This window comes from Homo sapiens, chromosome 14 (assembly GCF_000001405.40).
Source record: "Homo sapiens chromosome 14, GRCh38.p14 Primary Assembly".
NCBI lineage: Eukaryota > Metazoa > Chordata > Mammalia > Primates > Hominidae > Homo > Homo sapiens.
The window spans coordinates 50,636,574-50,664,463 of NC_000014.9; the positions used below are offsets into that span (position 1 = coordinate 50,636,574).

Sequence of the window (27,890 nt, forward strand, 5' to 3'; positions counted from 1 at the left end):
ATCCCTGCTTAGCAGTAGTACCTTTAGTAGTCGGCTACATAGTTCCATTTCAGTATGTGATGAAGACAGCACTGTAATTAATATTCTCATTTTAAAGATGAAAAACACTAAAACCTAAAGAGGCTCTTTACCTCTTGCAAAAGTGCTTAGTGACTAAAAGTTCAAAAAGGAAGAGAACTATGGACCAAGATGCTTCAAAATAGTGGTTTTCAATGTTAATATCCACTAAGACTAGACAAAGAACTTGAATTAGGGAAACGCATGTTATACCCGAAATTATACCTCTCAAATCATACTGCAGAGCAGACATAATAGGAAGCTTTGATTGCAAACTCTAGCATTATTTTTAATGATCGTTTATAGTATTTCCTACCCAGTGGTTCTTTGATATTATACCATTTTCTTTCAAAAGGACTGTCTAATATTTTAAAATGAGATTTTAAAAAAGGGAGATAGAAAACATACCGAGCAGTTAGTGTGAGCCACTATACTTGGCATTTTGACATGTTTCTATTCAACTTGAGTATGTGTAACAGAAATGTCAGTAATACAACATGCAAAAACTGGAAGGTAAATATATTTAATTGGACTGCCAATTTCACTCAGTTACTTGAGAGCTGCAAATTTATTAATAGATTTAGATTTCTTTGGTAGGAAGCTCTGTTCTTTTTAATGGGAAACTCCAACCACTTGTGAACATAAATTAGAGTGATACTGTAAGAAATACTCAATGAGCCTCCATGAAGAAACAGTTATAAGGTATTTCTTAGAACATCCACCATTCTTGTAACTTAAGATTTTATGTGCTCCTTGGAAACAAATTCATAATTCCTAACAAAAAATCTTAATCTCCCAGAGTTAGCTAAGAGGCAATTCAGCAATGTCTACTAAGTCAAGATGGTTACCATTTATACCAGGTGAACTACAACAATGTTAAACTAATCTATCATCTGTGTACTTTCTAGCAAGGAAAACAAAGAACAAAAATAAGATGGTAAATATTATACTTATTTTTAAGACACGAATATCATTCTGTATAAGTATTCAAGTTTTGTCTAAAGGAAGAAAAAATCTTCAAACAATTTTGTCAGTTTTTTTTTTTTTTTTTTTTTTTTTAAGAGATGAAGATCTCCTATGTCTCCCAGGCTGAAGTGCAGTGGCTAATCACAAGCACAATGCCACTACTGATCGGCACAGTAGTATTAACCTGCTCCCTTTCCAACCTGGGCCAGTTCGCCCCTCCTTAGGCAACCTGGTGGTCCCTGCTCCTGGGAGGTCACCATACTGATGCCAAAGAGTACAGACATCCGACTGGCATAGTGCATCACAGCCCAGAACTCCTAAGCTCTAACAATCCTGACTCTGCCTCTCAAGTAGCTTGGATTACAGGTGCACCACCATGCCTGGCCAAGTTTCTGACTTGCCAATCAGCATTCAGCATCAAGAGTACGATTATGGGTAGAAGCAACAAAATCAGATTAGAGAAAATCCTTCTGGGGGAAGAAAGTGCACTCCAAGAAGGGCACAGATGTGAAAAAACTGCAAAGCATGGAATGGAAATCCTATTCCAAATTCTTTCCTCTGTTGCTTCTACATAGTTACTACCCTTCTGCCTATAATCACCTAAGTGTTCCTTCTTTTTCTGAAAAGTATAAACTCCCATTCTTTCCTTCTTAACTAGCCAAGAAATTTGCTTCCACAAGTTTAACTTTTAGTCATTTATACTGTATATACACAGGTAAATCATTCCGAAAATTGGGTGTAAAACACTCCAGTAGTCCATGCTTCTAGCATCTCTTTCACTCTGTTTTTCCTAGGGCAGTATTCTATTCAAATACTACTTATAAATAAGCCATATATACAAATGCCAGTTGCTATAATGCTACCAAAAATAACCTGTCCACACTGCATGCTGACTTCAAGATCAACAGTGCTGCTATCCTCAGCTCCAGGTATCACCATGTAGCCTAAGTCCCCTGCACCCACCCGCCATAACACTGTGTCCACTCCTCCCTCTTTTTCACCTGTATCCAGAGCAGGGTCAATGGTGACACTGCAGGACTGCCAAGCCACTGGAATAAAAAATACCCCTGCCACACACTGCTGAGGACTAGTGTTTTGGTGTGTGTGTGAGAAATAACAGAAAGTAAATATGTTCTTGACAATGTTTTTGCTGTCAAAGATTAAATTTTATTTTATTATATTTTATTTTGAGATGGAGTCTCGCTCTGTCACCCAGGCTGGAGTGCAATGGCGCAATCTTGGCTCACTGCAACCTCCGCCTCCCGGGTTCAAATGATTCTCCTGCCTCAGCCTCCCGAGTAGCTGGGACTACAGGCGCGTGCCACCATACCCAGCTAATTTTTTGTATTTTTAGTAGATACAGAGTTTCACTGTGTTAGCCAGGATGGTCTCGATCTCTCGACCTTGTGATCCACTCGCCTCAGCCTCCCAAAGGGCTGGGATTACAGGCATGAGCCGCCGCACCCGGCCTAACTTTTAAAATTTTATCCTATAGTTCAGCTTGAGTACAGTTATACCAAGCATTATAGACTTTTGTGAGCAGACACAGGAACATAACTTTACAAAAATTAAATACAAATTTAAAACACAGTCTGTTTCTAAATCAAGTTTTAGAAGTATATGCAAAAATTGTGTTGGTAAATTACTGTGAGAGATAGGATTAAAGAATTTCAGGATTAAAGAATTTCAGATTCTCAATTGTCTGAAAAACAAAAGGAAGAAACATGCAAATTTTTTTTGCAAAAATGTCTCTTTTTGTTGTGATAATTGATTCTCATTATCTAATTCATAGATAACCACTCACCCTTTGTTGATAGAATATTAACCATTTCCATCCTCTTCAGCAACATTAATTAGAATCAACTAGAAAGCAACAGGCTTCCAGACCTCTTGTTTAAGTTTTTAAGCAGTAAAGAAGTATAGTACTTGCTCCCTTTTTGTCAGTCTGGCCCATTTTGGAAGAATTACAACCTATTTGCTAGTTTCCTTGAGTTTTATAGTTAGCTCACAGAACCACAGAATTCAAAAAGACTATAATCTTCAGGAATCTGTTTCTTTCTGTAAGAAACCAGGAATTCCATTTAAGTACTATCTCTTCCCCCAAAAAGGAAAGATTATGCTATTTCTTATTAAACATGACTATAGAGTAGAAATAACATACAACAGAAAGAATAACTCTCCTCAACCATATCCACCCCCAGAAATACTAAGGTTAACAGTTAGGCACATATTCTTCCAGATTTAAGGAAAATAAAAACGCATACAGATATTATGTACTATTTAGAATCAGCATACAAACATACAGCTGTAGGTCAGGTGGTATCAAGGGACAAAGAAAAGAGGAAAATAGGAAAGAAAATGCCATCTGCTATCATTCCTTTTTCTGGCACTAGTAGGGGGGCAGTCAGGGTCTCTCATGCTCTGTCACCCAGGCTGGAGTGCAGTGGCACAAGCATAGCTCACTGCGGCCTCAAACTCCTGGGCTCAAGCAGTCCTCCCACCTTAGCCTCCCAAGTAGCTGAGATCACAGGCATACACCACAGCATGCTGCTAATTTTTAAATTTTTTATAGAGACAGAGTCCTGCTATGTTGCTCAGGCTGAACTTGAACTCCTCAGATCAAGCTATCCTCCCACCTCAGCCTCCCAAGTACTTGGGACTACAGACCATGCAAAAAGCCTGGCTAATTTTTAAAATTTTTCTGTGGAAATGGGGCTCTCGTTATGTTGCCTAGACTGGTCTCGAACTCCTGGACTTAAGAGATCCTCCTGCCTCAGCCTCCCGAAGTGCTGGGATTACAGGTGTGAGCCACTGTGCCAAGCCCAGGTCCTTACTTTTATCACAAGTACTGTATCACTTATTTACAAATTAATCTTCTCCTATGAGAATGTAAGTTTCTTACTTGTATCCCTAATAGCAGAGGCCCGCACACAAAGAAATGAAGATTCTATAAATGTCTGAAGAACTAATATTTCTAATTAATGATTTTCACACATTATAAACTATGACATCCTTTATTCAAGTCACGTATTACTTAGAAGCCGAATATTATTAAGAGTAAAATATGGCACACTACTTGGATCGAGCAGCCCAGAGACTCCATTCAGCCCTTCACTCACTCCTCAAACAAATTTGTGTTGTAAATGTACTTACTTCACAGGGGCTCGTGCGTAAACCTGAAGCCAGTCAGGAATTTCTGCAGTATGATATGGATTTGCAGGTACCAGAAGGGACTGATTTCTTTCAGTTTGCTGTGGCTGGTATGTGACAGGAGGTGGTTGATCATACCGAGGTACACTAAGAAGAAAGGAGTGACATTCTTTAGGATAAAGGTCTTAAAATCTAAACAAGAAATTATAAAGAACAAATAATACTTAAGCATTTTTCAGTGTGCCTTCTGTCCAAACTGACTTACACCACCTGAAAGGTAATGTATTTTTAAGATATTTCTTCTGGCTGGTATTTAGTCTTTTCAAAAACAGGTTCAAAGGAGGATATGAAAAAGCTGGAACTAAGTTTTAACCTTTATACAAAGGCTTAAAACTAGAATAGTAAATTCCCACAAGAAATAGTCATCAGCTGTAAATTCATATCAGAAAGGTTGACAGTTTCTAAGAAAGGATGTTTCCTTCCTCCCGTAGGCTGAAAATGGGGGTTAGGATATGTAGTGACGCAGCAGTGAGTATTGTGTTTGAAATATCTCTATCCAATGCAGATAACTTTTCAACTTTTACCAACTCAAGAGAACATATGGGAGTCAGAGTTGATCAGAACCTATTTTAAGTCACAGAGATTAAAAAAAAAAAAGACCATACTTTAGTTCTAATAGCCTGTGTATGCTGTGGGGAGTGGAGATATTATATGGGAAAGTGTAAGGAAAGCACTGAACCACCTGAAGGTTAATAGCTGAACTCGAAGCGGCCAAAAGGGTCTATTTGAGACCAAAAGGGGTCTGCACCTTCAAACATAAAGATTTATGTGTATATGTGGCCAACAAGCATATGAGAAAATGCTCAACATCACTGCTTATTAGAGAAATGCAAATCAAAAGCACAATGAAATAAATACCATTCCACATCAATCAGAATGGCTATTATTAAAAAGTCAAAAAATAACAGATGCTGGTATGGTTGCAAAGAAAAATGAATGCTTATACACTGCTGGTGGGAACATAAATTAGTTCAGTCACAGTGGAAAGCAGTTGGGAGACTTCTCAAAGAACTTAGAACTATCATTCAATCCAGCAGTCCCATTAATGGGACTATTTCTACAAAGGAATAGAAATCATTCTACCATAAAGAAACACGTGTGCACATGTTAATTGCAGCACTATTCACAATAGCAAAGATACGGTATCAACCTAAATGCCCATCAATGGTGGGCTGGATAAAGAAAATGTGGTATGCAGACACCATGGAATACTACCCAGCCATAAAAAAGAACAAGAGCATGTAGTCTGCAGCAACACTGATGGAACTGGAGGCCATTATCCTAAGTGAATTAATGCAGGAAGAGAAAACTAATACCACATGTTGATAGGTAGGAGCTAAACACTGAGTACACATGGACACAAAGAAGGGAACAATAAACATTGAGGCCTACTTGCGGGCAGAGGATGGGAGAAGCATGAGGATTGAAAACTACCTATCAGGGACCGGGCGTGATGGCTCACACCTGAGGTCGGGAGTTCGAGACCAGCCTGGCCAACATGCAGAAACCCCGTCTCTACTAAAAATACAAAACTTAACCAGGCTTCATGATGCATGCCTGTAATCCCAGCTACTTGGAAGGCTGAGGCAGGAGAATTGCTTGAACCTGGGAGGCGAAGGTTGAGGTGAGCTGAGATCGCGCCACTGCACTCCAGCCTTGGCAACAAAAGTGAAACTCCGTCTCAGAAAAAAAAAAAAAAAGAAAAGAAAAACTACCTATCAGACACTATGCTTATTACCCGGGTGATAATCTGTACCAAATCCCCAAGCCATGCAATTTACCCATGTAACAAACCTGCACATGTACCCCTGAACCTAAAATAAAAGTTAGGGAGAAAAAAAAGAAAATGTGGTGTATATATAACAATGGGGAGAAAAAAATGCATGTGTATATTAGAAAAGGTCACTGTTTACTAAACTGGGATTAAAATAAGGTTAGATTATGCTGTGGTTAACAATTTTAAAAGATCAATATGCAAATGGAACTGAATTCTATCTTCAACTCTTCTTTCCTAAATAGGTTCAAAGGAAAATGTTCTTTGATAGTACAACTGGGGGTGAAGAAGAATTGGGACTTTGAAGTCAGGTACGCCTGGATTTGAACCACAGCTTTAACACTTACAAACTATGTAAATGTAAGCAAAACTCCTCCTATCCCTAAGCCTCAGCCTCCATACTTGTAAAAGTGGAATAATAAATTCATACCACAGGTGGTTGTTCTCAGGATTAAATGACCTAATGTAAGTCAAGAATTTTGTATAAGGATTGGCCTAAGATAGACAACCAGACAACTAGTAATACTACATATGTGAGCTTAAGGGCAGCGTTTATTCTCTCTTGTTCAACTTCTACCAAGTTGCTGAGAGAAGTAAATTAACTAATTATGAAATTGCTTTTAAAAAACTATTAAAATTCTGTAATAACATAAGGTTAATGATGATTGTATTAGTCTATTTTCACAATGTTATAAAGAATTACCTGAAACTGGGTAATTTATAAAGAAAAGAGGTTTAATTGACCCACAGTTCCATAATTGGGAGGCCTCAGGAAACTTAAATCATGGCAGAAGATGAAGGGGAAGCAAGGCACATCTTACGTGGTGGCAGGAGAGAGAAAGAAGGGGGAACTGCCACACACTTTTAAACTATCAGATCTCATGAGAACTCACTACCAGAACAACATGGGGGAAATGGCCCCCATGATTCAATCACTTCCCACCAGGTCCCTCCCTTGATACATGGGGATTACGATTTGAGATGAGATTTGGGTGAGGACACAGAGCCAAACCATGTCAACGAACAGAAAAGTAAACTCTCAAATCTGGTTATCTGGACTGCAACAATCATTGCCACCTGATGACCACACCACAGGTTTGATTCTTTCAAAGGACAACAACCTCAGTAGTTGAATAAACACTGATTGGGTGCCACTACATGGAATCATGGGAAAAAACAGATTTTCAAAGTTGAATTAATAAATCCAAATACATAAAATAATTAAAACAACACAATAATGATAAAGCTTAGTTTTCCAGTTGATAATCCTAAAACACATTTTCATAACTATTTTAATGGTTCTAAGAAAATACAAATGTCCACTATAACCAAAAAACTGTATTATGCCAGATGACACTAAGCAACATTTATCAAAATGCAGATGATATTTTACTCATTTTTAATCTTGTGGCTCAGCTTTTGAAGCTCAAATGTGGTTAATTTGAAATATTTGCAACTTCATTACTAAACTAATACTAGCTTTTATGTACTTTGAAATCCAGTGTGTATTTACACTTACAGCACATCTCAATTTATATTAATCACATTCAAGGGCTCAACAGCCACACGTGACAACTGGCTATCAGGCAGCACAGGGCTAAAAGTCTGGCAACAAAGCAGATCTACCCAGCCCAGTATCAATCAAAACAGCACAAAGAATTACTGGCTATATTTATTAAACAGAAATGGGATGTTTTGTTCAGTCCCAATTTTCACTTTCTTGTCTAGTAATAGCAAGAAACAGAACATACAATCATGTCTGAAATAGAATAAACAGCAAAATGTTATAATTCAATTGTACATTCTGACTTAGGGGGTAGGTCTGTTATTATTTGTAAAAATTTAAGTGTAAGAAGGCAGAAGCTTTAATTATTTAATTTTCTGGACACCTATAACAAAAACATTCTGGCATTACTACAGCAGAATCTGATCATAAGAACAATGATCTTGTTTTTGAGGTTTTTTTAAAGAGAAAAGTATTTTTTTAACTTATTAAAGTCATTTATTACTAAATGTATGTCCAGAGAAAAATGTAAATTTTGAAATATAAGGCTTTCAAATCTCAAGCTTTAGGATGCTATTCTCTTAGATGAAAATATCAGTTCAAAACCTAACATTAGACAATCCCGAAACAAAAAGTTGAAAATAAAGTTGATACTGTACCTAGGAGCACAGGGATGCCTGTATTGGGCCTTCTTATTTGTGTGATCTACATAATAGGTTCCAAATTCGGATGACTCAACTCGTTCCCATCCAGGAGGAAGTCCTTCTCGCTCAAGAGGATGGCTCCAGTGAGTTGTATTTGTGTTATGATCTATATAATATTTTCTCCCTCTCATTGTCCAGTCCACAGACCAGCCAGGAGGAAGGGGTAAATCTTCAGAACCATGGTTAGTCAAATTTCCTAAAGATGTAGCAGCAACTCTCCCAATACCTACGGGGAAAGAGAAAATGATAGAGAAGAAACAGAACAATTATTCAATGCAAAAAATGTGCCAGCTAGCAAAGTCACAACATTAACTATCCTGATTGTACTCTTCTATTTAAATTCATGATTATGCCCATTATGATGGTTTTCATAAAACTAGTCGGTATTACTATTAAGGAATTATAAAAAGGGGGAGGAACTAGACTTTGAAATTAGTAGAGGGTTTTTTGGCTGATGCTTCCATCAACAGGCCATACAAACACTTAACAACAGGTTGAGCATCCCTAATCCAAAAATCTGAAATTTGAAATGCTCCAAAATCCAAAACTTCGAGAGCTGACATGTTGCCACAAGCAGAAAATTCCACACCTGACCTTATGTGATGAGTCATAGTCAAAATTCAGTCAAAACTTTGTTTTATGCACAAAATTATTTAAAATATTATGTAAAATTACCTTCAGGCTATGTGTAGAAGGTATATATGAAATATAAATGAATTTCATGTTCAGATTTGGGATCTCTTCCCAAGATATCTTATTATGTACATACAAATATTCCAAAATAAAAAAAAAAATCCAAAATCTCAAACACTTCTGGTCCTAAGCATTTTGGGGTAAGGGATAATCAACCTGTGGCAGTAAAGCTACTTAAGTATGTATACTGCCAAAAGAAAAGTGGGAAAAAGAAAATTTCCCCTGATTAAAGATTTGACATTTCAGCTTTAAAAAAAATGTAAAAATGAACTTGTAAAACCATTCCCGGTTATAAATTCTTAAAAGTAATCTGGCTGTGCCCTAGAATTATTAAGTAAGCTTAAGGTAGCAGGGTTAAGGTCACCATACAAAAATTAATATTTATATATTAACAAACAACAACTGGAAACAAAAGTTATTGAGATAATATAATTTATAATAGCTCCAAAGAATTGTGCAGGACCAATATGCTAAAAACTACAAAACACTGATGAAAGAAATAAAAAACCTATCACATTAACGGATTGGAAGATTCGACATAAAGTTAAGATGTCAATTCTCCTGAAATTATCTTTATCTTTATAGGAGTCCCCCCCTTATCCATGGGGGATCCATTCCAAGACCTCCCGTAGATGCCTGAAACTGCAGATAGTACCTAACCCTGTGTATGCTGTGTATTTTCCTATACATACGTATCTATGATGAAGTTTAACTTATAAATTAGGCACAGTAAGGGATTAACAAAAATAAAATTGAACAATTATTATAATAAAAACTGGGTGAATGTAATCTCTCTCCCTCTCTCTTGAAAGATCTTGTACCATATTCATCAATTTTCAGACTGCAGTTGCAGAGGTAACTGAAACTGTGGAAAGCAAAACCATGGATAAAGCGAGACTACTGTCATTCCAATAAAAATTCCGGCCGAGCGCAGTGGCTCACGCCTGTAATCCGAGCACTTTGGGAGGCCAAGGTGAGCGGATCACCTGAGGTCCGGAGTTTGAGACCAGCCTGACCAACATGGTGAAACCCCGTCTCTATTAAAAACACAAAAATTAGCCGGGCGTGGTGGCGGACGCCTGTAATCCCAGCTACTCGGGAGGCTGAGGCAGGAGAATTGCTTGAACCCGAGAGCAGAGGTTGCAGTGAGCTGAGAACGCGCCATTACACTCCATCCTGGGCGACGAGAGTGAAACTCTGTCTCAAAAAAAAAAAAAAAAAAAAATTCCATGGAGTTTTTGTAGATACAGATAGTTATTAAACAGATTTTAAAATGTATACTGAAAGGCAAAAGAGAACTAGAGTAGCCAAAACAATTTTTTTGAAAAAGGGATAAAGTTGAAGGACTCACACTACCTGATTTTTAAGGCTTACTATAAAGCTACATTAATCAAGACAGTATGGTATTGTCAGAAGAACAGACAAATAGATAAATGGAACCAAACAGAGAATCCAGAAGAACACCCACACAGACATGGTCAACTGATTTTTTTATAAAGGTGAAAGGGCAATAGCGGGGAAAGGTTTTTCCAACAAATGATGTTGCAACAACTGGACATCCATATGCAAAAAACCTAATCACAACCTATACCTGCCACCTTACATACAAATTAACTAAAAATAGATCATATATCTAAATTTAAAACTATAACGCTTTTACAAGAAAAAAATAGAATAAATTTTCATGAGTTTAGTTTAGACAAAGAGTACTTTTTTTTACCATGATGCTGAAAGTTCAACTCATAAAGAAAAAATACTGATTAAATTGAACTCTGTCAAGATTAAAAACGCTTGTGAAGGACACTAAGAGAAAGAAAATCAAGCTGTAAACAGGGAGAAAATGTTTGCAAATCACATTATTAGCCAAAGAACTCTGACCTAGAATATACAAAGAATTCTCAAAACTCAACATTAAGAAAACAACCCTGAGCCTGCTGCAGTGACACGCACCTGTAGTTCAACCTACTCAGGAAGCTGAGTAGGAGGGTTACTTGAGCCCAAGATTTCAGGTCTGTAGCACACTATCATCATGCCTGTGAACAGCTACGGCACTCCGGTCTGTGCAACAGAGTGAAACCCCTTCTCTCAAAACAAAAACAGAAGAAGAAAACAAAACGACCCAGTTAAAAAAAAGGGGGGTAAGAATTTTTAACAGGCACTTCACCGAAGACAACATATTGATGGTAAATAGCACGTGAAAAAATGCTCAGGATCATAATTAGCCGTGAGAGAAATGCAAATTAAAACCATAATGAAATGACAATACACGTCTATGAAAATGGCCAAAAAACCAAACAAAACCTGACAATGCAAGTGCTTACATGGATACAGAACAATTGGAATGCCCATACACTGCTGGTGTGGATGCAAAATGCTACAGTCACTCTGGAGAACAGCTTAGCAATTTCTTATAAAGTTAAACATATGCTTTTCATATGCTACAGCAATCCCATTCCCAAATATTTACCCTAGAGAAATGAGAAGTCATCTTCACACAAAATCCCATTTGTGGATATTTACAATGACTGTATTCATATTTGCCCCAAAGTGGAAATGACACACATGTCCTTTAACAGAATGGATAAACAAACTGTGGTGCAACTGTACAGTGAAATCTACTCAGGAATAAAATGGAACTAATTATTGGTACATGCAAGAATCTCAAAGATGAATCTCAGAAGTATCATGCTGAGGGAAAGCAGCCAGTCTCAAGTGGCTACAAATTGTACAGTTCCATTTTTATGAGATTCTTCCAAACACAAAACTACTAGGACAGAAAACAGTGATTGCTAGGAACTGGAGGTGAGGGACAGGAGTTGACTATAAGAGGACAACCTAAGGGAATTTTAGAGGGTGTTTGAAATGTTCTGTATTCTCATTACACAGGCATTACATGAAATCTATACATATGTTAATACTCAGAACTGTGTAACTTGAAAAAAGTTAAATTTACTATACTTTTTAAAAGAATAATCTGGCTGCATAATTTTATTCTCACACAAGAATACTAATAGTTGGCCGGGTGCGGTGGCTCATGCCTGTAATCCCAGCACTTTGGGAGGCCGAGGCGGGCAGATCATGAGGTCAGGAGATCGAGACCATCCTGGCTAACACGGTGAAACCCCATCTCTACTAAAAATACAAAAATTAGCTGGGCGTGGTGGCGGGCGCCTGTAGTCCCAGCTACTTGGGAGGCTGAGACAGGAGAATGGCGTGAACCCGGGAGGCGGAGGTTGCAGTGAGCCGAGATTGCGCCACTGCACTCCAGCCTGGGCGACGGAGCAAGACTCCGTCTCAAAAAAAAAAAGAATACTAATAGCATATGTATAACAAATCACCCCGAAACTCAGTGGCTTAAAACAAGAAGTATTTATTTGGTTCACCACAGGTTGGTGATACTGGCTGAGCTCAGTAAGTTTTTTCCTTGATATTTGGTACAAGTTATCTTTACTGTCTCATTACTTGATGAAAGTTATCTCTTGTATAACTTTCAATATGAAGCCCTACTGATGATCAGACCTCCATTTCTTCTCTGACTTAAGCTGCTATTTTTTTTACCCTTAGCTCACTCTGTTCCAGCTACACTCACCTCCTGGATGCTGTTCTCAAACACGGCAGGTACTGGCTGTTTATTCTCCCTAGAAGATTCTTCCTTCAGATATTCTCTTGGCTCACTCTCACCCTCTTCAAGCCTCTTCTCAAATGTTTCAATGAAGCTTATTCTTACTATGGCAGTCTACATCTGCTGAGCTTCTACTTACCGTTTTACTTTTTTAAAAAGCACTTTAACCTTTTAACTTATGTAATTTTAGTTTGTTTATTTACCTACAAGAATCCCACAAAGAAGATTCTTAGGACAGGAATCTTTGTTTTGTTCACAGATACATCTCCAGTCTCTAGAACAGTGTCTACAGAATAAAGCACATAGTAAGTGTTAAATAAATAAGCTGCAGTAATAAAGACAGTGTAGTATTAGTGGAGGAGATACACACATCAATGAGACAGAAACTGCATAAATATTTTCCTTGATTTTTGGACTTATTTTGCCTCTTTCACTCCCATATTTTACTAGTTCTGAAACGAAGGTGTTTTTTATAATCAAGAGAGTAAATCTGTTAGCCACTAGGCAGCAAATACAGATGTATTATCATTGCTGGTGCATGTTCTAACACAGTCCTAGGAAGACAGTATGTGGTTCATACTATTATTAATCCTCATTATTTGTAACAGTTGCACCCCAGACAAAATTTTAACATAAATTTGAATCCCTGTGCCTGAAAGGTACAAGGATACAGCATTTAAATGAAAAGTTAGTGTGTTAACAGAAGACTGCCAGTCAACCCAAGGCCCTAACTGCCAAATTTAGAATATCTCAGAATGGTCAAAATAAGAAAGACTGGGTGACCATTGAGGTGTGAAGGAGTACCATGCCAGAGCAAAACATCTACTAGTCAAAAGTTCCCAGCTGACTTTGAAGAGCTTTTAAAATTACAGTTGGCTGGAAACTAAGGCAAAATGAAAACATCAAGTTTACCTTTAAAGAAAGGCAAATGAAACAGACCCCAGTGACAAAAGGTAATTTAGAAGAAACTTTAAAATTAAGGTAAATGCTTCAATTCAAACTCAGATTCTAAAGAAGGATATGTAAGTGTATGGATAAATACGGGTTATTGGCATGTGGTTTAAGAAACTGTTTTTATTTAAATACAACATACAATGCATATGCATAAGGCTAGTCACTGCAGCAACATCTATAGTTGCAAAAGGCTAGAAATCAACCAAATGTCCAATAATAGCAAACTGGATGATTACACTATTACACGCACAGAACAGAGTACTATATTATATAGCTGTAAACATGAATGAAGATGATTTCTATTTATTGCCCTGGAATAATATTCGGGATGTATTATGTGAAAAAAGAGTCTGGACAGTACACCACCATATATACATATATGTAGTAGCCAGCCAGTAAGGTGAACCTGGGCCCCAATTATCCCTGTCCTCCTGGGATTCACACCCTTGTCTGTGTGACCAATAGTTTATGGCAGAAAGGATGGTGTGTGACTTCTGAGATTAGGATATAAAAGACCGTGCAGCTTCTGCCTTGGTCAAGTGTACTTGCTCTCTCATCACTCACCCTGGGGGAAACCAGATACCATATCATGAGAAGCCCATGAGTGAGGAATTGAGGCCTTCAGCCAGAACTGAAGCCTCCTGTTAACAGCCTTGTGAGTGAACTTAGAAGCGGATCTTTTGGCCGGGCGCAGTGGCTCACACCTGTAATCCCAGCACTTTGGGAGGCCAAGGTGGATGGACCACCTGATGTCAGAAGTTTGAGACCAGCCGGGCCAAGACGACAAAACCCTATCTCTACTAAAATTACAAATAATTAGCTGGGCGTGGCGGCACATGCCTGTAGTCCCAGCTACTCAGGAGGCTGAGGCAGGAGAACACTTGAACCTGGGAGATGGAGGATGCAGTGAGCCGAGAGCGCGCCACTGCACTCAAGCCTGAGCAACAGAGAGAGACTCTGTCTCCAAAAAAAAAAAAAGAAAGAAAGAAATGGATCTTTCAGCCAGAGCGAAGCTTCGGATAACTGCAGCCCCAGCTGACGTGTGTGAACTCCAACTTCATGAGAGATCCTGAGTCAGAATGACCTGGCTAAGCCGCTTCCAAAATCCTGAACCACAGAAACTGAGATAATAAATGTTTATTGTTTTATGCCAATGAGTTTGGAAGTAATGTGTTTTACAGCTACAGAAACCTAACACAATACATATGAAAGAGAATAATATGAATACATATTTTACATATATATGTAATTTGTATCTATTTTCATAAAGTGTTGCAATGAAATATGTAACAAAAATTAATAAAATTGGGTATTTACAGGGGGAGGAAGGAAATGGGGTGGAAGAGGACAGGGGTAGAATTAATTTTCTAAATGCATTCTGTTTTATCATTTTGATTTTGCAACCTTTTAAATATCCTATGTAACTTACAACAAAATTAAATCAAAATTTAGAAAAAGCAATCCCTAAAAAGTGAAAACAAAATGAAGTAAACAAATCTAAGAGTACATGAAGCAGCTAAAGCATACTTCAGAAAAATTAATTCAAAGTGAATTTTATGTATTACTTATTTATTGTTATTTATTTTTGAGACAGGGTCTCACTCTGTCACCCAGGCTGGAGTGCAGTGGCACAATTACGGCTCACTGCAGTCTCAACCTCCTGGGCTCAAGCAATCCTCCCACCTCAGCCTCCCAAGTAGGTGTGACTATGGGCATGCACCACCAAGCCTGGCTAATTTCTTTTATTATTTTTTGTAAAGACAGGGTCTCACTATGTTGCCCAGGCTGGTCTCAAAACCCTTAGACTCAAGCATTCCTCCCATCACAGCCTCCCAGTGTGCTAGGATTACAGGCATGCGCCCCTGTGCCCGGCCCAAAGAGAATAAATTGTACTTCCTCATCGGGAAATATCCTAAATTTAAAAAATAAACTACAAAGAAATCTTCTGTTTTATTCAGTAATCATATTGTCGATGATACTATTTTTAAAGCTAGTTATGCTACAGATAAAGCAAATGAATAGTTACATAATTGTCAACAGGAACCAAGATTTTCAGTATGAGAAAAAAATAAAAACCTAAGGCAAAAAGAAGGTAGTTCAATGTGAATGTACTTACTGCCAACAAACTGTACACTTAAAAATGGTTAAGATGGTAAATGTTGTTATGTGTATTTTATCACAATTAAACATTTTTTTAAAAAGCTAAAAGTAAAAACTTGGAAATCTTAAACTGCCAACAGTATGAACTCATAATGAATTTCTATTTCCAGAAAGCAACAAAACATATTTCCCAGATATGTCCATTGAAAAGGTCTACAAGCATTAATCCACCAAATAGCAATGAGTACAAGAGTGCAATCCCTGAATACTATTTCCCCATCGAAAGGAACCAGGGATCCTTAGAATGGTTGAGTACAGGACTGAGGCAGAAAATGCACAATATGAGCCTGGAACATCTAGTCACATTAGAAAGCAAAGAGAAATAAAAAGGAACCAACATTGAAAGGGCTCCTGCCACCAAAGCAGCAGCAATTTAAACATCAAAAGGAATTACCACACCAATAATTAAAACTAAGTATAAAAATCTTAAAATCAACCAGCTCATCTTGGAGAAACGGCTTCTGGGTCAGGGAAAATACATGATAATATGGAACATGAGAAAAACATCAGACTTTTGAAATTGAAAAAAAAGGCTGGGCACAGTGGCTCACGCCTATAATCCCAACACTTTGGGAGGCCAAGGCGGGTGCATCACCTGAGGTCAAGAGTTCAAGACCTGCCTGGCCAACATGGCGAAACTCCATCTCTACTGAATATACAAAAATTAGCCAGGCGTGGTGGCACGTGGCAGTGATCCCAGCTATTCAGGAGGCTGAGGCAGGAGAACTGCTTGAACCCGGGAGGTGGAGGTTGCAATGAGCCAAGATTGTGCCACTGCACTCCAGCCTGGGTGACAGAGGGAGACGTCTAAAAAAAAAGAAATTGAAAAAAAAATGAATTGAAATTGAGGTACAATCTACAAAACATTCTGTACTCCTCAAAACTGTCAAGGTCATAAAAAACAAAAGACTGAGAAACTAGCATAGATTAAATAAGACTAAAGACATACAACAATGAAATGCAATGCAGTACACTCTGGAATGAATCCTAGAACAGAAAATAAACATTAATAAAAAAATGATAAAATCCAAATAAAGCTTGGCGTTAAAAATCCATGAGTTCATGGTTACTTTTGTAGGTGGCTAGGGTATCAATTCATCATTCTGAAATAGCAAACAAAGGAAAAGATCTAGCATTCAACCCTTCTTTCCTATATGAACAGCAACCAAATAATTGATAAAGTCCTTAATTATAATATTCCAACTAATAAAGAAGAAATGACAGAATTCAAGTATCAAAATTTGCAACACTTAGACATACTTTGGAGATATTTCAGGTTTGGTTCCAGATTACTGCAATAAAGTGAATATTGCAATAAAGCGAGTTACGTGAATTTGTTTGTTTCCCAGTGAACCTTAAAGTTATCTTTACGGCCGGACACGGTGGCTCACACCTGTAATCCCAGCACTTTGGGAGGCCGAGGCAGGTGTATCACGAGGTCAAGAGATCGAGACCATCCTGGCCAACATGGTGAAACCCTGTCTCTACTAAAAATACAAAAATTAGCTGGGCCTGGTGGCGCATACTTGTAGTCCCAGCTACTCGGGAGGCTGAGGCAGCAGAATTGCTTGAACCTGGGAAGTGGGGGTGGCAGTGAGCCGAGATCATGCCACTGCACTCCAACCTGGCAACAGAGTGAGACTCCATCTCAAAAAAAAAAAAAAGTTATATTTTACAATATATTGCAGTCTATTAAGTGTGCAATAGCATTATATCTTTAAAAAAAGTACAGGTCTTAATAAAAAAAATTGTATTGCTACAAAAATGCTAATGATTATCTGAGCCTTTAGTGAGTTCACAGCATCTTTTTGCTAGTGGAGGGTCCCGTCTCCATATTGATGGCTGCTGACTAATCAGGCTGGTGGTGTTTGAAGGCTGGGATAGCTGTGGCAATTTCTTAAAAACAACAATGAAGTTTGCTCCATCAATGGACTTTACCTTTCATGAAAGATTTTTCTGTAGCATGTGATGCTGTTTGACAGCATTTTACCCACAGTAGCATTTCTTTCAAACTGGCCTCAATCCTCTCAAATTCCACTGCTACTTTATCAATTAAATTTATTTAATATCCTAAATCATTAGTCATTTCAACAATATTTACAGCTTCTTCACCAGGAGTATATTCTATCTCAAGAAACCACTTTCTTTGCTCATCCATAAAAAGCAACTCATCTGTTCAAGTTTTATCATGAGACCAGCAGCAATGCAGTCACATCATCAGGCTCCACTTCTTATTTTAGTTTAGTTTGCACACAAGTGCAATTCCTTGTGATGTCCCAAAACAATTACAATAGTAACATGAGCAATCACTGATCACAGATCACCATAACAGGCAGAAATGAAAAAAGTTTGAAATATTGCAAGAATTACCAAGATGTGACACAGAGACATGAAATGCGCACGTGCTGTTGGACTGCCACAAACCTTCAATTTGTAAAAAACACAGTATCTGCGAAACACAATAGAGCAAAGCACAATAAAATGAGGTATGCCTGTAATAGTGCTAGCCAATGATCATTAATGGCTGCCAAAAACCAATAATAGATAAAAGGCTTATGGAGAACTTCATGATGATGGATGAATTAAGCTGACATCTGTACCCATGGCTGCATCTTAACATCACAGACAAATCAGTCATTATATGTCACTGGAACCTATGCAATAGAAAGTACACAACATTATCTATGCAGTATTCTGGCAAAAAGGATGCAAGAACAAAAACAGATGCAAGAACAAGTAGATCACCCTTGTTCGGTACCCTTTCAAAAGAAAGCTAACATATAATTTTTTAAAGATGGTGACAATAAAACAGAACAAAACAAGCCTTTTGGTGAAACTGACCTTAGGCTTCTATTAAACTGCAATTGAAAGTTTAATATGTATAGTTTAAGCAACTTCAGTACTTAAAGAGAAAATATTTAAACAGAAAAGAAGCCAATGTATGAAACACATGTACACAGCAAATGACTTTAATATCACATCGTAGAAACACAAAATTACTTTACATTCTAATATGTTCATTATGTTAAAAATGCTTTACAGCCAAAACCAAGCATAACAATGTAACAATTTTTTCTAATGTATAGTCAATTCAGTGTATTTATATGAGTTACTTATAAAAGCCATAATATTTTGGCTAACAGAGCTTCCCTCAGGAAATATATAATAGAAACAAAATTCTAAATACTGCATTATTAAAAACAAAAGCTGCCTTTTTTTTTTTTTTTGAGACAGAGTCTAGCCTCGTCCCCCAGGCTAAAGTCAGTGATGCAATCTCGGCTCACTGCAACCTCCACCTCTCAGGTTCAAGCGATTCTCCTGCCTCAGCCTCCCGAGTAGGTGAGATTACAGGAACCTGCCACCATGCCTGGCTACTTTTTGTATTTTTAGTAGAGATGGGGTTTCACCGTGTTGGTCAGGCTGGTCTCCAACTCCTGACCTTAGGTGATCCATCTGTCTTGGCCTCCCAAAGTGCTAGGATTCCAGGCGTGAGCCACTATACCCTGCCTAAAAACAAAAGCCTTTATAGTAATTAAAAACAAGACAAGGGCCAGGTGTGGTGGCTCATGCCTGTGATCCCAGCACTGGGGGGCCGAGGTGGGTGGATCACCTGAGGTCAGGAGTTCACGACCAGCCTGACCAACATGGAGAAACCCCATCTCTACTAAAAATACAAACTTAGCCGGGCATGGTGGCATATGCCTGTAATTCCAGCTACTAGAGAGGATGAGGCAGAAGAATCACTTGAACCCAGGAGGCAGAGGTTGTGGTGAGCCAAGATCGTGCCATTGCACTCCAGCCTGGGCAACAAAAGTGAAACTCCGTCTCAAAAACAAAAACAAAAACTATACAGGTTTAGAGCGTATTAAAAGTTTGTGGCAATTTCATCTATTAAGAAAACCCATACTTCCATATATGTACTGAACTTGCCTAAATCTAGAACCACATGTACTCTTACATTTAAACAACATTAGGTACCAAAAGCCATATCTGACTATAAATTTGGGATTCATATTTAAAGGAAGCACAAAGACCTCTCTGTAAATACTCTCATTTTTAAAGCCTGACAATTTGATAAAGGAGCCATGAAGTACCCAAAAAGTTGCAAATAGGCACATCAGCTTTACTAACGCTATTAAAAAACTCCAATGCCCTGTAAAGCCATGATTCCTAAACTTTCTTAGAGATATCTATTAATAATTTCAAAACATACCCCAACTGTATTTTTTTTTTTTTTTTTTTGAGATGGAGTCTCACTCTTGTCGCCCAGGTTGGAGTGCGGTGGCGCGATCTCCGCTCACTGCAAGCTCTGCCTCCTGGGTTCATGCCATTCTCCTGCCTCAGCCTCCTGAGTAGCTGGGACTACAGGCACCCGCCACCACACCTGGCTAATTTTTTGTATTTTTAGTAGAGACGGGGTTTCACTGTGTTAGCCAGGATGGTCTCGATCTCCTGACCTCATGATCCGCCCGTCTCAGCCTCCCAAAGTGCTGGGATTACAGGCGTGAGCCACCGTGCCCGGCCCCAGCTGTACTTTCTGAAAGCACAATGTGTGATATATTTTTTCAAATTATTATTTGGGATAATTTTACAAAATCTATTGAGATAAATGTACAGTACAAAACAATGCAAACCACTGTTCTAAAGCATAAAGCATTACCAAAACAGATCCAGAAGATTAAAAAATAAAAAAGCTATGTCAAGCTCTAATAAATCATTCCTCCAGTATGAGTTCAGCCAGAAAGCTCAAACTTCAATAACTAACATCCCAAGTATGTGGGAAAAGCACAGAACACAAAACACTCACTTTTTTTTTTTTTTTTTTTTGAGACGGAGTCTCACGCTGTCGCCCATGCTGGAGGGCAGTGGCACAATCTTGGCTCACTGCACCCTCCACACCGCGGGTTCCCTGGTTCAAGCGATTCTCCTGCCTCAGACTCCTGAGTAGCTGGGATTACAGGCACACACCACCATGCCCAGCTAATTTTTGTATTTTTAGTAGAGACGGGGTTTCACCATGTTGGTCAGGCTGGTCTTGAACTCCTGACCTTGTGATCCACCTGCCTCGGCCTCCCAAAGTGCTGGGAAATACTCACTCTTACAAAGGACATGTGCAAACAGTTATGGATGTGTATTCTATCCCCAGCTCTTTCCATATGTCTTATTTCATAGCCAAAACTGCTCTAGGAGGTAGTACTATTACCACCAATTTACAGATGAGAAAACAGGTTCAAGTGAATTATTTTACCAGTGGTCACACAACAAGTGGTATAAGGTCAAATGCAAACCTGTTACTAACCATGTAATCTCAGCAACAAAAGATCAATTGTTATTTATTCTTTAAAGAAAAATATGACTACCACTAGTAAAAGAAAAAGCAAGCCACCAATTTTGATCCAAATCAGTGGGAAAAAATGGTAACTTCAGTTTTTGAGTGACAAGAACAAAATTACCTTTCTGTAATTTCAAGTAGTCCTTGAAAGTAATAAACTGGATTCACAATTAATCCTCAAAACAGCTTCTATTTGCAGGAATTAACTGCACAAACACCTTCTATTAATACAAAGTAAAACATTCACACACTAAACATATGACTTAGTCGAAGACACAGATAAAGTATTATTTTCTCTCTCAGCTATCAGTAGATGTGCCAAAAAACTTAATCTCATACAACCAGGCAGATATTTATGAGATCTACCATTATGAATAAGACTCAAATAGGCCGGTTTCCAAATTTTGTAGTGGCTACAGAGAATAAAATGGATCTAGAGCTCTAACACAGTTCCACAGGGTCCCTAGTAATGGATGCTACACATTATTAGCATGTGTTATAATCAAGATGTTGATAAAAAGATCTAAGTATTAAACTCAACCAAATGCTTTCTCTCTTCCTCTGCAAAATAAATACAGAAAAGGTGGTGTCTCTAAAGATTATCAACCCCTCCTCAAAAGATTCTGGTTACACAAATATTTACACATTACCCGAGTAACTGCAAATCCAGTATTTCTTGATAAAGCTCACACTTTTCAGTCTGATTTTTGTATCCTGATTTCTTTAGTCATCTTTAAACGTTTAAAAATGTTTTCGAGACAGAACTAAAATTTAAGCGCAAAACAAAGGAATTCAGTCTGCCTTTAGTATTCCAACTAAAGACTTCCTGTTAACAGCAGGATTCCTTTCTTTGGAACATACAGTAAGTGCGTGACTGGTATGCGGCCAAGAACATTAAAGGTCAAATTTTCTAATCTGAAAGTTCTACAGCTAAACGTAGAACTTTCTAGGCTCTAAAACTTTCTGAGATTATACAACTTGTTTTTGTGCTTCTACTAAATACAATAAGCTGAATTTAACCCTTGACACAAGGTGTTTCCTGAAAATCTAATAACTAATTGACAGGAATTACTATTGCCATTAAGTCATTACAAAACAAATTTTCCAACCTTTTTATGCTTATGACAATCAAAATTCAATGTTTCTGAAAATAGATCTATCGCACAAACCTATCCTATCCTCCTACAAACTTACTTTCTCCTTTCTATTCATTCAAATTCCTTGAACCTTATTCAGCATAAATCCTAAAAATATGTTTTAAGTCTTCTCAAGGTGAATTCAAGAAACTTTCAGCTACTGTCTCATATTCAGATTTTTCCCTTGTGGAAGAGGCAGTTATTAGGCTTTTCTGTTTGGCATGTAATTGGTTATTAATCTTTCCCTGCAACTTTAGAGATTCCTTCAAAAAAAGTACTACTTTTTTCTACAAGGTAAAACATTAAATCTATATTGCCCTGATAAAAATTAATCTTATCAAATGAAGTCTCTCAAGCTCTCAAGCAGTGTATCAACTGCTGTAAAGAATTTTTTTTTTTTTTTTTTTTTGGTTGGGAGAGATACCTTATTACCTGAGATTCTTCAACTACCTGCAACCTTCTTTAAACCTAACGCAATCTGATATAAAAGAGCCTGGGATGAGACTTCGAAGGCAGAAGTCTACTGTCTCATTAAAACAAGGTCTTGGCTATTCCATGAAATCAAATCTTATTTCAGTGCATGTGTGTTCCAATAAAACTACTGTATTGCAGGAGGCAAGTCTATCTGGCCTATGGGTGTAGCTTGCTGACTCCTGCTGAAGCCTCCCTCATAAAATTAAAAACACCCTCAAGATTAAAATTACGGTAGGGGCCCGAATTTTGATAAAATATTTTCCTTCTCTTTTTCCACCTCCATGTATGACTGCTTGCAAAGTCATTTCAACAAATGGCAGTCACTAATAATTGTCTTCCTGTGGCAGCCCCTGGGCAGGCTGCCCATAAGATTAACAAACCTGTTTCTTTTAAAGAACAATAATCCAGACTGGGTGCTGCGGCACATGCCTGTAATCCCAGCACTTTGGGAGGCCAAGGCAGGCAGATTGCTTGAGCTTGGGAGTTTGACCAGCCTGGGCAACACTGAAATTCAGTCTCTACTAAAAATACAAAAAATTAGCCAGGTGTGGTGGTGCATGCCTGTAGTCCCAGCTACTCAGGAGGCTGAGGTGGGAGGATTGCTTGAGCCCGAGGTCGAGGCTGCAGTGAGCTGTGATCATGCTACTGCACTACAGCCCGGGCAACAGAGCAAGATCCTGTCTCAAAAAAGAAAATAGAAGAGAAGAACAAGAAAACAATGATCCTAGATCACACAGACCCCCTTGATAGTTTCCAGAATTTGGACTGGCCAAACAGGCCAGGCCACTTTGATCACTGGTGATCTCACCTCCTGCAAACTCTTCTGCTAAGCTATAGGTTTAAACAGTAACCTGCCATTTTTTCCCAGCTTTCTTTCCATAGTAACTGGCAGTCACAAACACTACTGTAAAACCTAAGACTGGTCTTCGAGATATTTTTCAGACTTTGCTTACAAGTGGACCAACTGACACCAAATGGACCAGTGTTCCATGAACTCAACCAAGGAACTGACTTGGTCTTGTGACTCCCCAATTTCCCAGCAACTGATTCAGCACATGAAGACAGCATTGATAACCCTATGATCTCATACCAGTCCAATCACCAGCACCCATCCCCTAGCCCCCTGCCTGCCAAATCATCTTTAAATATCTTAGCTTCTCCAGTCTTGGCGGTGATGACTCTGAGAAACATTTCCCATCCTCCTTACTCAGCTGCCTTGCAATAATTAAACTCTTTCTTCTTTACAGTATCTGCTGTCTCAGTGTTCTGCTCTATTCGGATAGCAGACAAGAGCCCAGTCAGGTGGTAACATTGTTTTATAGCATTTTTTGGATACATAATTATTTGCACATGTTTATGGGGTACATGTGATATTGTGATACATGCAAAGAGTATGAAATAATCAAGTCAGGGTATTTAGGGTATCCATCACCGTGAGTATTTATCATTTCTATGTGTTGGGAACATTTCAAGTCCTCTCTTTTAGCTATTTCAAAATGTTAACTGTAGTTACCCTACTCTGCTATCAAACCTTAGAACTTATTCCATCTAACTTTATGTTTGGACCCATTAACCTACCTCTCTTTACCTCCCCTCCCATCCTTCCCAACCTCTGCTATCATTCTATCTCCATGAAATCAATGTGTTTCGCTCCCACATGTGAGTAAGAACATGAGACACTTCTCTTTCTGTGCCTGATTTCCCTTAATATAATGACCTCCAGTTCCATTCAAGCTGCTGCAAATGACATGATAAACATGGGAGTGCAGGTATTTCTTTGATATACTGATTTCTTTTCCTTTAGATAGATACCCAGCAGTGGAACTGCCGGATCATATGGTAGTTCTGTTTTCGGTTTTCTGAGAAATTTCCAAACTGTTTTTCATAGTGCCTGTCCTAATTATTGTAACATTCCCACCAACAGTCTGTAACAGTTGCCTTTTCTTCACACTCTCACCAGTAGTATATTTTTTTGTCTTTTTAACAATAGCCATTCTGACTGGGGTAAGACACCTCACTGTGGTTTTCACTTACATTTCCTTGACGATTAGTGATGTTGCACATTTTTTCACATACCTTTTGGCCATTTGTATGTCTTCTTTTGAGAAACGTCTATTCATGTCCTTTGCCCACTTTTTAATGGGGTTGTTTTTCTTACTGTTGGCTTCCTTGCATATTCTGGATATTAGTCCCTTGCTGGATGAATCTTTTGCAAACACTTTCTCCTATTCAATATGTTGTCTCTTCATTCTGTTGTTTCCTTTACTGTGCAGACGCCTTTTGGTTTAATATAGTCCCATATGTCTATTTGTTTTTGTTGCCTGTGCTTTTGAGGTCTTAGCCATAAAATCTTTGTTAGATCGATGTCCTGAAGTGTTTCCCCTACATTTTCTTCTAGTACTTTTATAATTTCAGGTCTTAAGTCTTTAATCCATCTCAAGTTGAATTTGCATATGGTGAGACAAGGGTCAGATTTCATTCTTCTGCATGTGGATATCCAATTTTCCCAGCATCGTTTATTGAAGAAAGTGTCCTTTTCCCAATGCACGTTCTTGGTGCTTTTGTAAAAAAATCAGTTGGCTGTAAATATGTGGATTTATTTCTGCATTACCTATTTTTGTTCCATTGGTCTATGTGTCTTTCTATACCAATACCATATTATTGTGGTTACTATAGCCTTATTTGTGGTTACTATAACCTTGTATGTGGTTACTATAGCCTTATTTCGAAGACAGGTAGTGTGATGCTTCTAGCTTTGTTCGGTTTGCTCAGGATTACTTTGGGTATTTGGGCTCCTTGTTGGTTCTGTGGAAATTTTAGGATTGTTTTATTTCTGTGAAAAATGACTGGTATTTTAATAGGGATTGCATTCAATCTGTAGATTACTTTGAGCAACATGGTCATTTTAATGATGTTAATTCTTCTGACCCATGAGCATGGGATGTCTTTCCATTTGTTTTTGTGCTCTTCAATTTCTTTCATCAGTGTTTTGAAATCTTGTTATTTATTTATTTATTTATTTATTTTGAGACGGAGTCTCACTCTGTTGCCCAGGCTGGAGTGCAGTGGCGCAATCTCAGCTCACTGCAAGCTCCGCCTCCCGGGTTCACACCATTCTCCTGCCTCAGCCTCCCAAGTAGCTGGGACTACAGGCGCCTGCCACCACGCCCGGCTAATTTTTTTATTTTTAGTAGAGACAGGGTTTCACCGTGTTAGCCAGGATGGCCTCAATCTCCTGACCTCGTGATCCACCCTCCTTGGCCTCCCAAAGTGCTGGGATTACAGGCGTGAGCCACCGTGCCCAGCCTGAAATCTTATTTTTTTAATGACATACTTGAATCTGAAAACGTATGCAATTAACTTGTACTTTATTTTGAAGTTGTGACTGGAAAGTTGCTTTAAAGTCTGTCTTTAAACTTAGAAAAATTATCTCAAATTGCTCCTAAGAGAGGATCAGTAGAGATTTAGTTCTTATAGTATTTCCTCAATTATATTTGGCAAATTAGATTTTCAAAACAAGAGTTTAACTTGTTATTAATTCCTCATATTTACATACTTAAACCTCAGGTAGAAAAGTATTACAAGCTATCAGTGACGTCTACAATATAGGTGGGAAAGGTGAACGCAAAGAATAACACATATTCTATATTAACAGTAAACATAGCTATTTCTGTTCTCCCTCAGCTACCAAAAACTGTCTTAAGCCTCCAGATTTAAAACCGCTGGGTTCATTCACTCATTCAGCCATTTATTTTTGTGAGCATCTCTTAGGCAGTCATGTGCTGTGCTAATCCTATCTGACTCTTCCCTCTCCTTTGTCCTTCAAACCCCGTTAGTGGCCAAGTCCCATTAATGTGGGCGTGTCCCACTTCTCCTCTTTCCAAATTTCTGAAGTATAGGTCAAGTCCTCATTAACCACTGAATATGCACCAAATGGAAGATTACGCAGTCATTAAAACCACTCATAAAAAGTATACAACATGAAGAAAATCATTCAAGTAAAAAGAACAGAAAACTGTACAAAATATTATATAATCACATCCATGTAAAAAAAGAATTTGGCATGGAAAAAGATGAAGAAAATAACATACTAAGAGGATCTCTGGTGGACAGGTACTTTGCCTTTACGTTTCTGCATTTTGCAAATTTCCTGTAATAAGCAGTTATTATTCTAGAAGAAAATATAAATGAGCTTTATTTTTAAAACTTACTATTTTAGTTAGATAACAAATTATTCCTGAGGTTCAGAACTGCATATCAGAAATAACCAAAATAAACACTCAAGCATGCAGCTAATTCTTTAACCTAATTCCTTAAAAACTAAAAGGTGCTTTTACCCATGCCTCTTACTGCATTTCCACATGCCTAGAAAACCTCTCCTCTACAATGTTCCAGTGAGACTCTGATGTCAGCTTTCATAAAATAAGTTGTTCTTACCAACTATTCCACATTATTTTTAAAACTTCAGTGATCTGCTTTCTCCTAAACTCTAATTCTCATTTTTCCTTTAAAAGCATCCTAGATTTGCGTTTTCCTATTACCACTGGTACCCACTGGTACCTGCAATCCTCTTTTCTCTAGGAATCTACCCTTAATTCTAGTACAAAACTAATCTTTAAACACTGCTTTCATAAAATCACTTGTCTTTCCGAAATGTGCAAGAGCTTCCACTTGACTCAAATCTAAGCCTATTGTTGAACCACAAATCTCCACTCAACCTTACATCTTATTTCTTCAAACCAGGCAGAACTACACTGTTCCTTATATTTAAACCATGCCTACTCTGTTTTCATTGTGCTATTCCCAATTTTCCACGTAAAATGTCCTTCTTCTGGCCCTTGTTAATCTAAAGGCCAAGCTCAAGGCCCACTCCAAGTCCTACCTCTTCCATGAATCATCTCTTTAAGTATTCCAGCCTATACTCATCTCTCTTCTGATTCCCTGTTGCACTTACAGTTAGTATCACAAAGTATAACAATTTTTCTGTGACCATTGTGTATAGATTGGTTTTGTTTCCACAAATAAGGTACTAGACAAATAAGGTACCAGAAAGCAGAGACCAACAGACCCAAGGAAAACGCTAGACACATAAACAGTTAATATTAAATGAATAAATTTTTTCTACAGTCAAAATACTAATGCTCCAAACCATTTTTAAGTCGCCTTATTTGAAGTTATGTGAGCCAAAAAGTAAATCTGTCTCACATTTTATTTTTATCCTGCCAAAATTTAAAGTCTATAACTTGGTAGAAAAAAAAAATCAGACAAGAAAGTTTAATTTTCATCTCACTTCATTTTATCTGG

The 27,890-nt window shown here is 38.0% G+C and overlaps 1 protein-coding gene and 1 pseudogene across 3 annotated transcripts in view, besides 1 other annotated feature; both read right to left on the reverse strand.

Moving 5' to 3' along the window:
- The window catches only part of SAV1 (salvador family WW domain containing protein 1), a 34,727-nt gene that overhangs the window by 2,994 nt on the left and 3,843 nt on the right, over positions 1 to 27,890 (reverse strand). For 2 of the 3 annotated variants that reach the window (NM_021818.4, XM_011537057.4), the window contains 2 exons: positions 8,171 to 8,441; positions 4,177 to 4,320 (listed from right to left, as the gene is read on the reverse strand). In NM_021818.4, the coding sequence (NP_068590.1) occupies positions 4,177 to 4,320; positions 8,171 to 8,441 (415 nt within the window). Of the gene's footprint in view, positions 1 to 4,176; positions 4,321 to 8,170; positions 8,442 to 12,733; positions 12,817 to 27,890 lie in introns of those variants that run through there. The other variant, XM_047431659.1, reaches the window with a different exon arrangement.
- RN7SL452P (RNA, 7SL, cytoplasmic 452, pseudogene) lies at positions 1,118 to 1,408 on the reverse strand (annotated as a pseudogene).
- Positions 20,660 to 21,159: an enhancer, noted in NCBI's record as "H3K27ac hESC enhancer chr14:51123951-51124450 (GRCh37/hg19 assembly coordinates)". NCBI's record gives its function as "activates a minimal SCP1, AML or CMV promoter by ChIP-STARR-seq in primed H9 embryonic stem cells {active_cell/tissue: H9 hESC(primed)}" and the evidence as "EXISTENCE:reporter gene assay evidence [ECO:0000049][PMID:30033119]".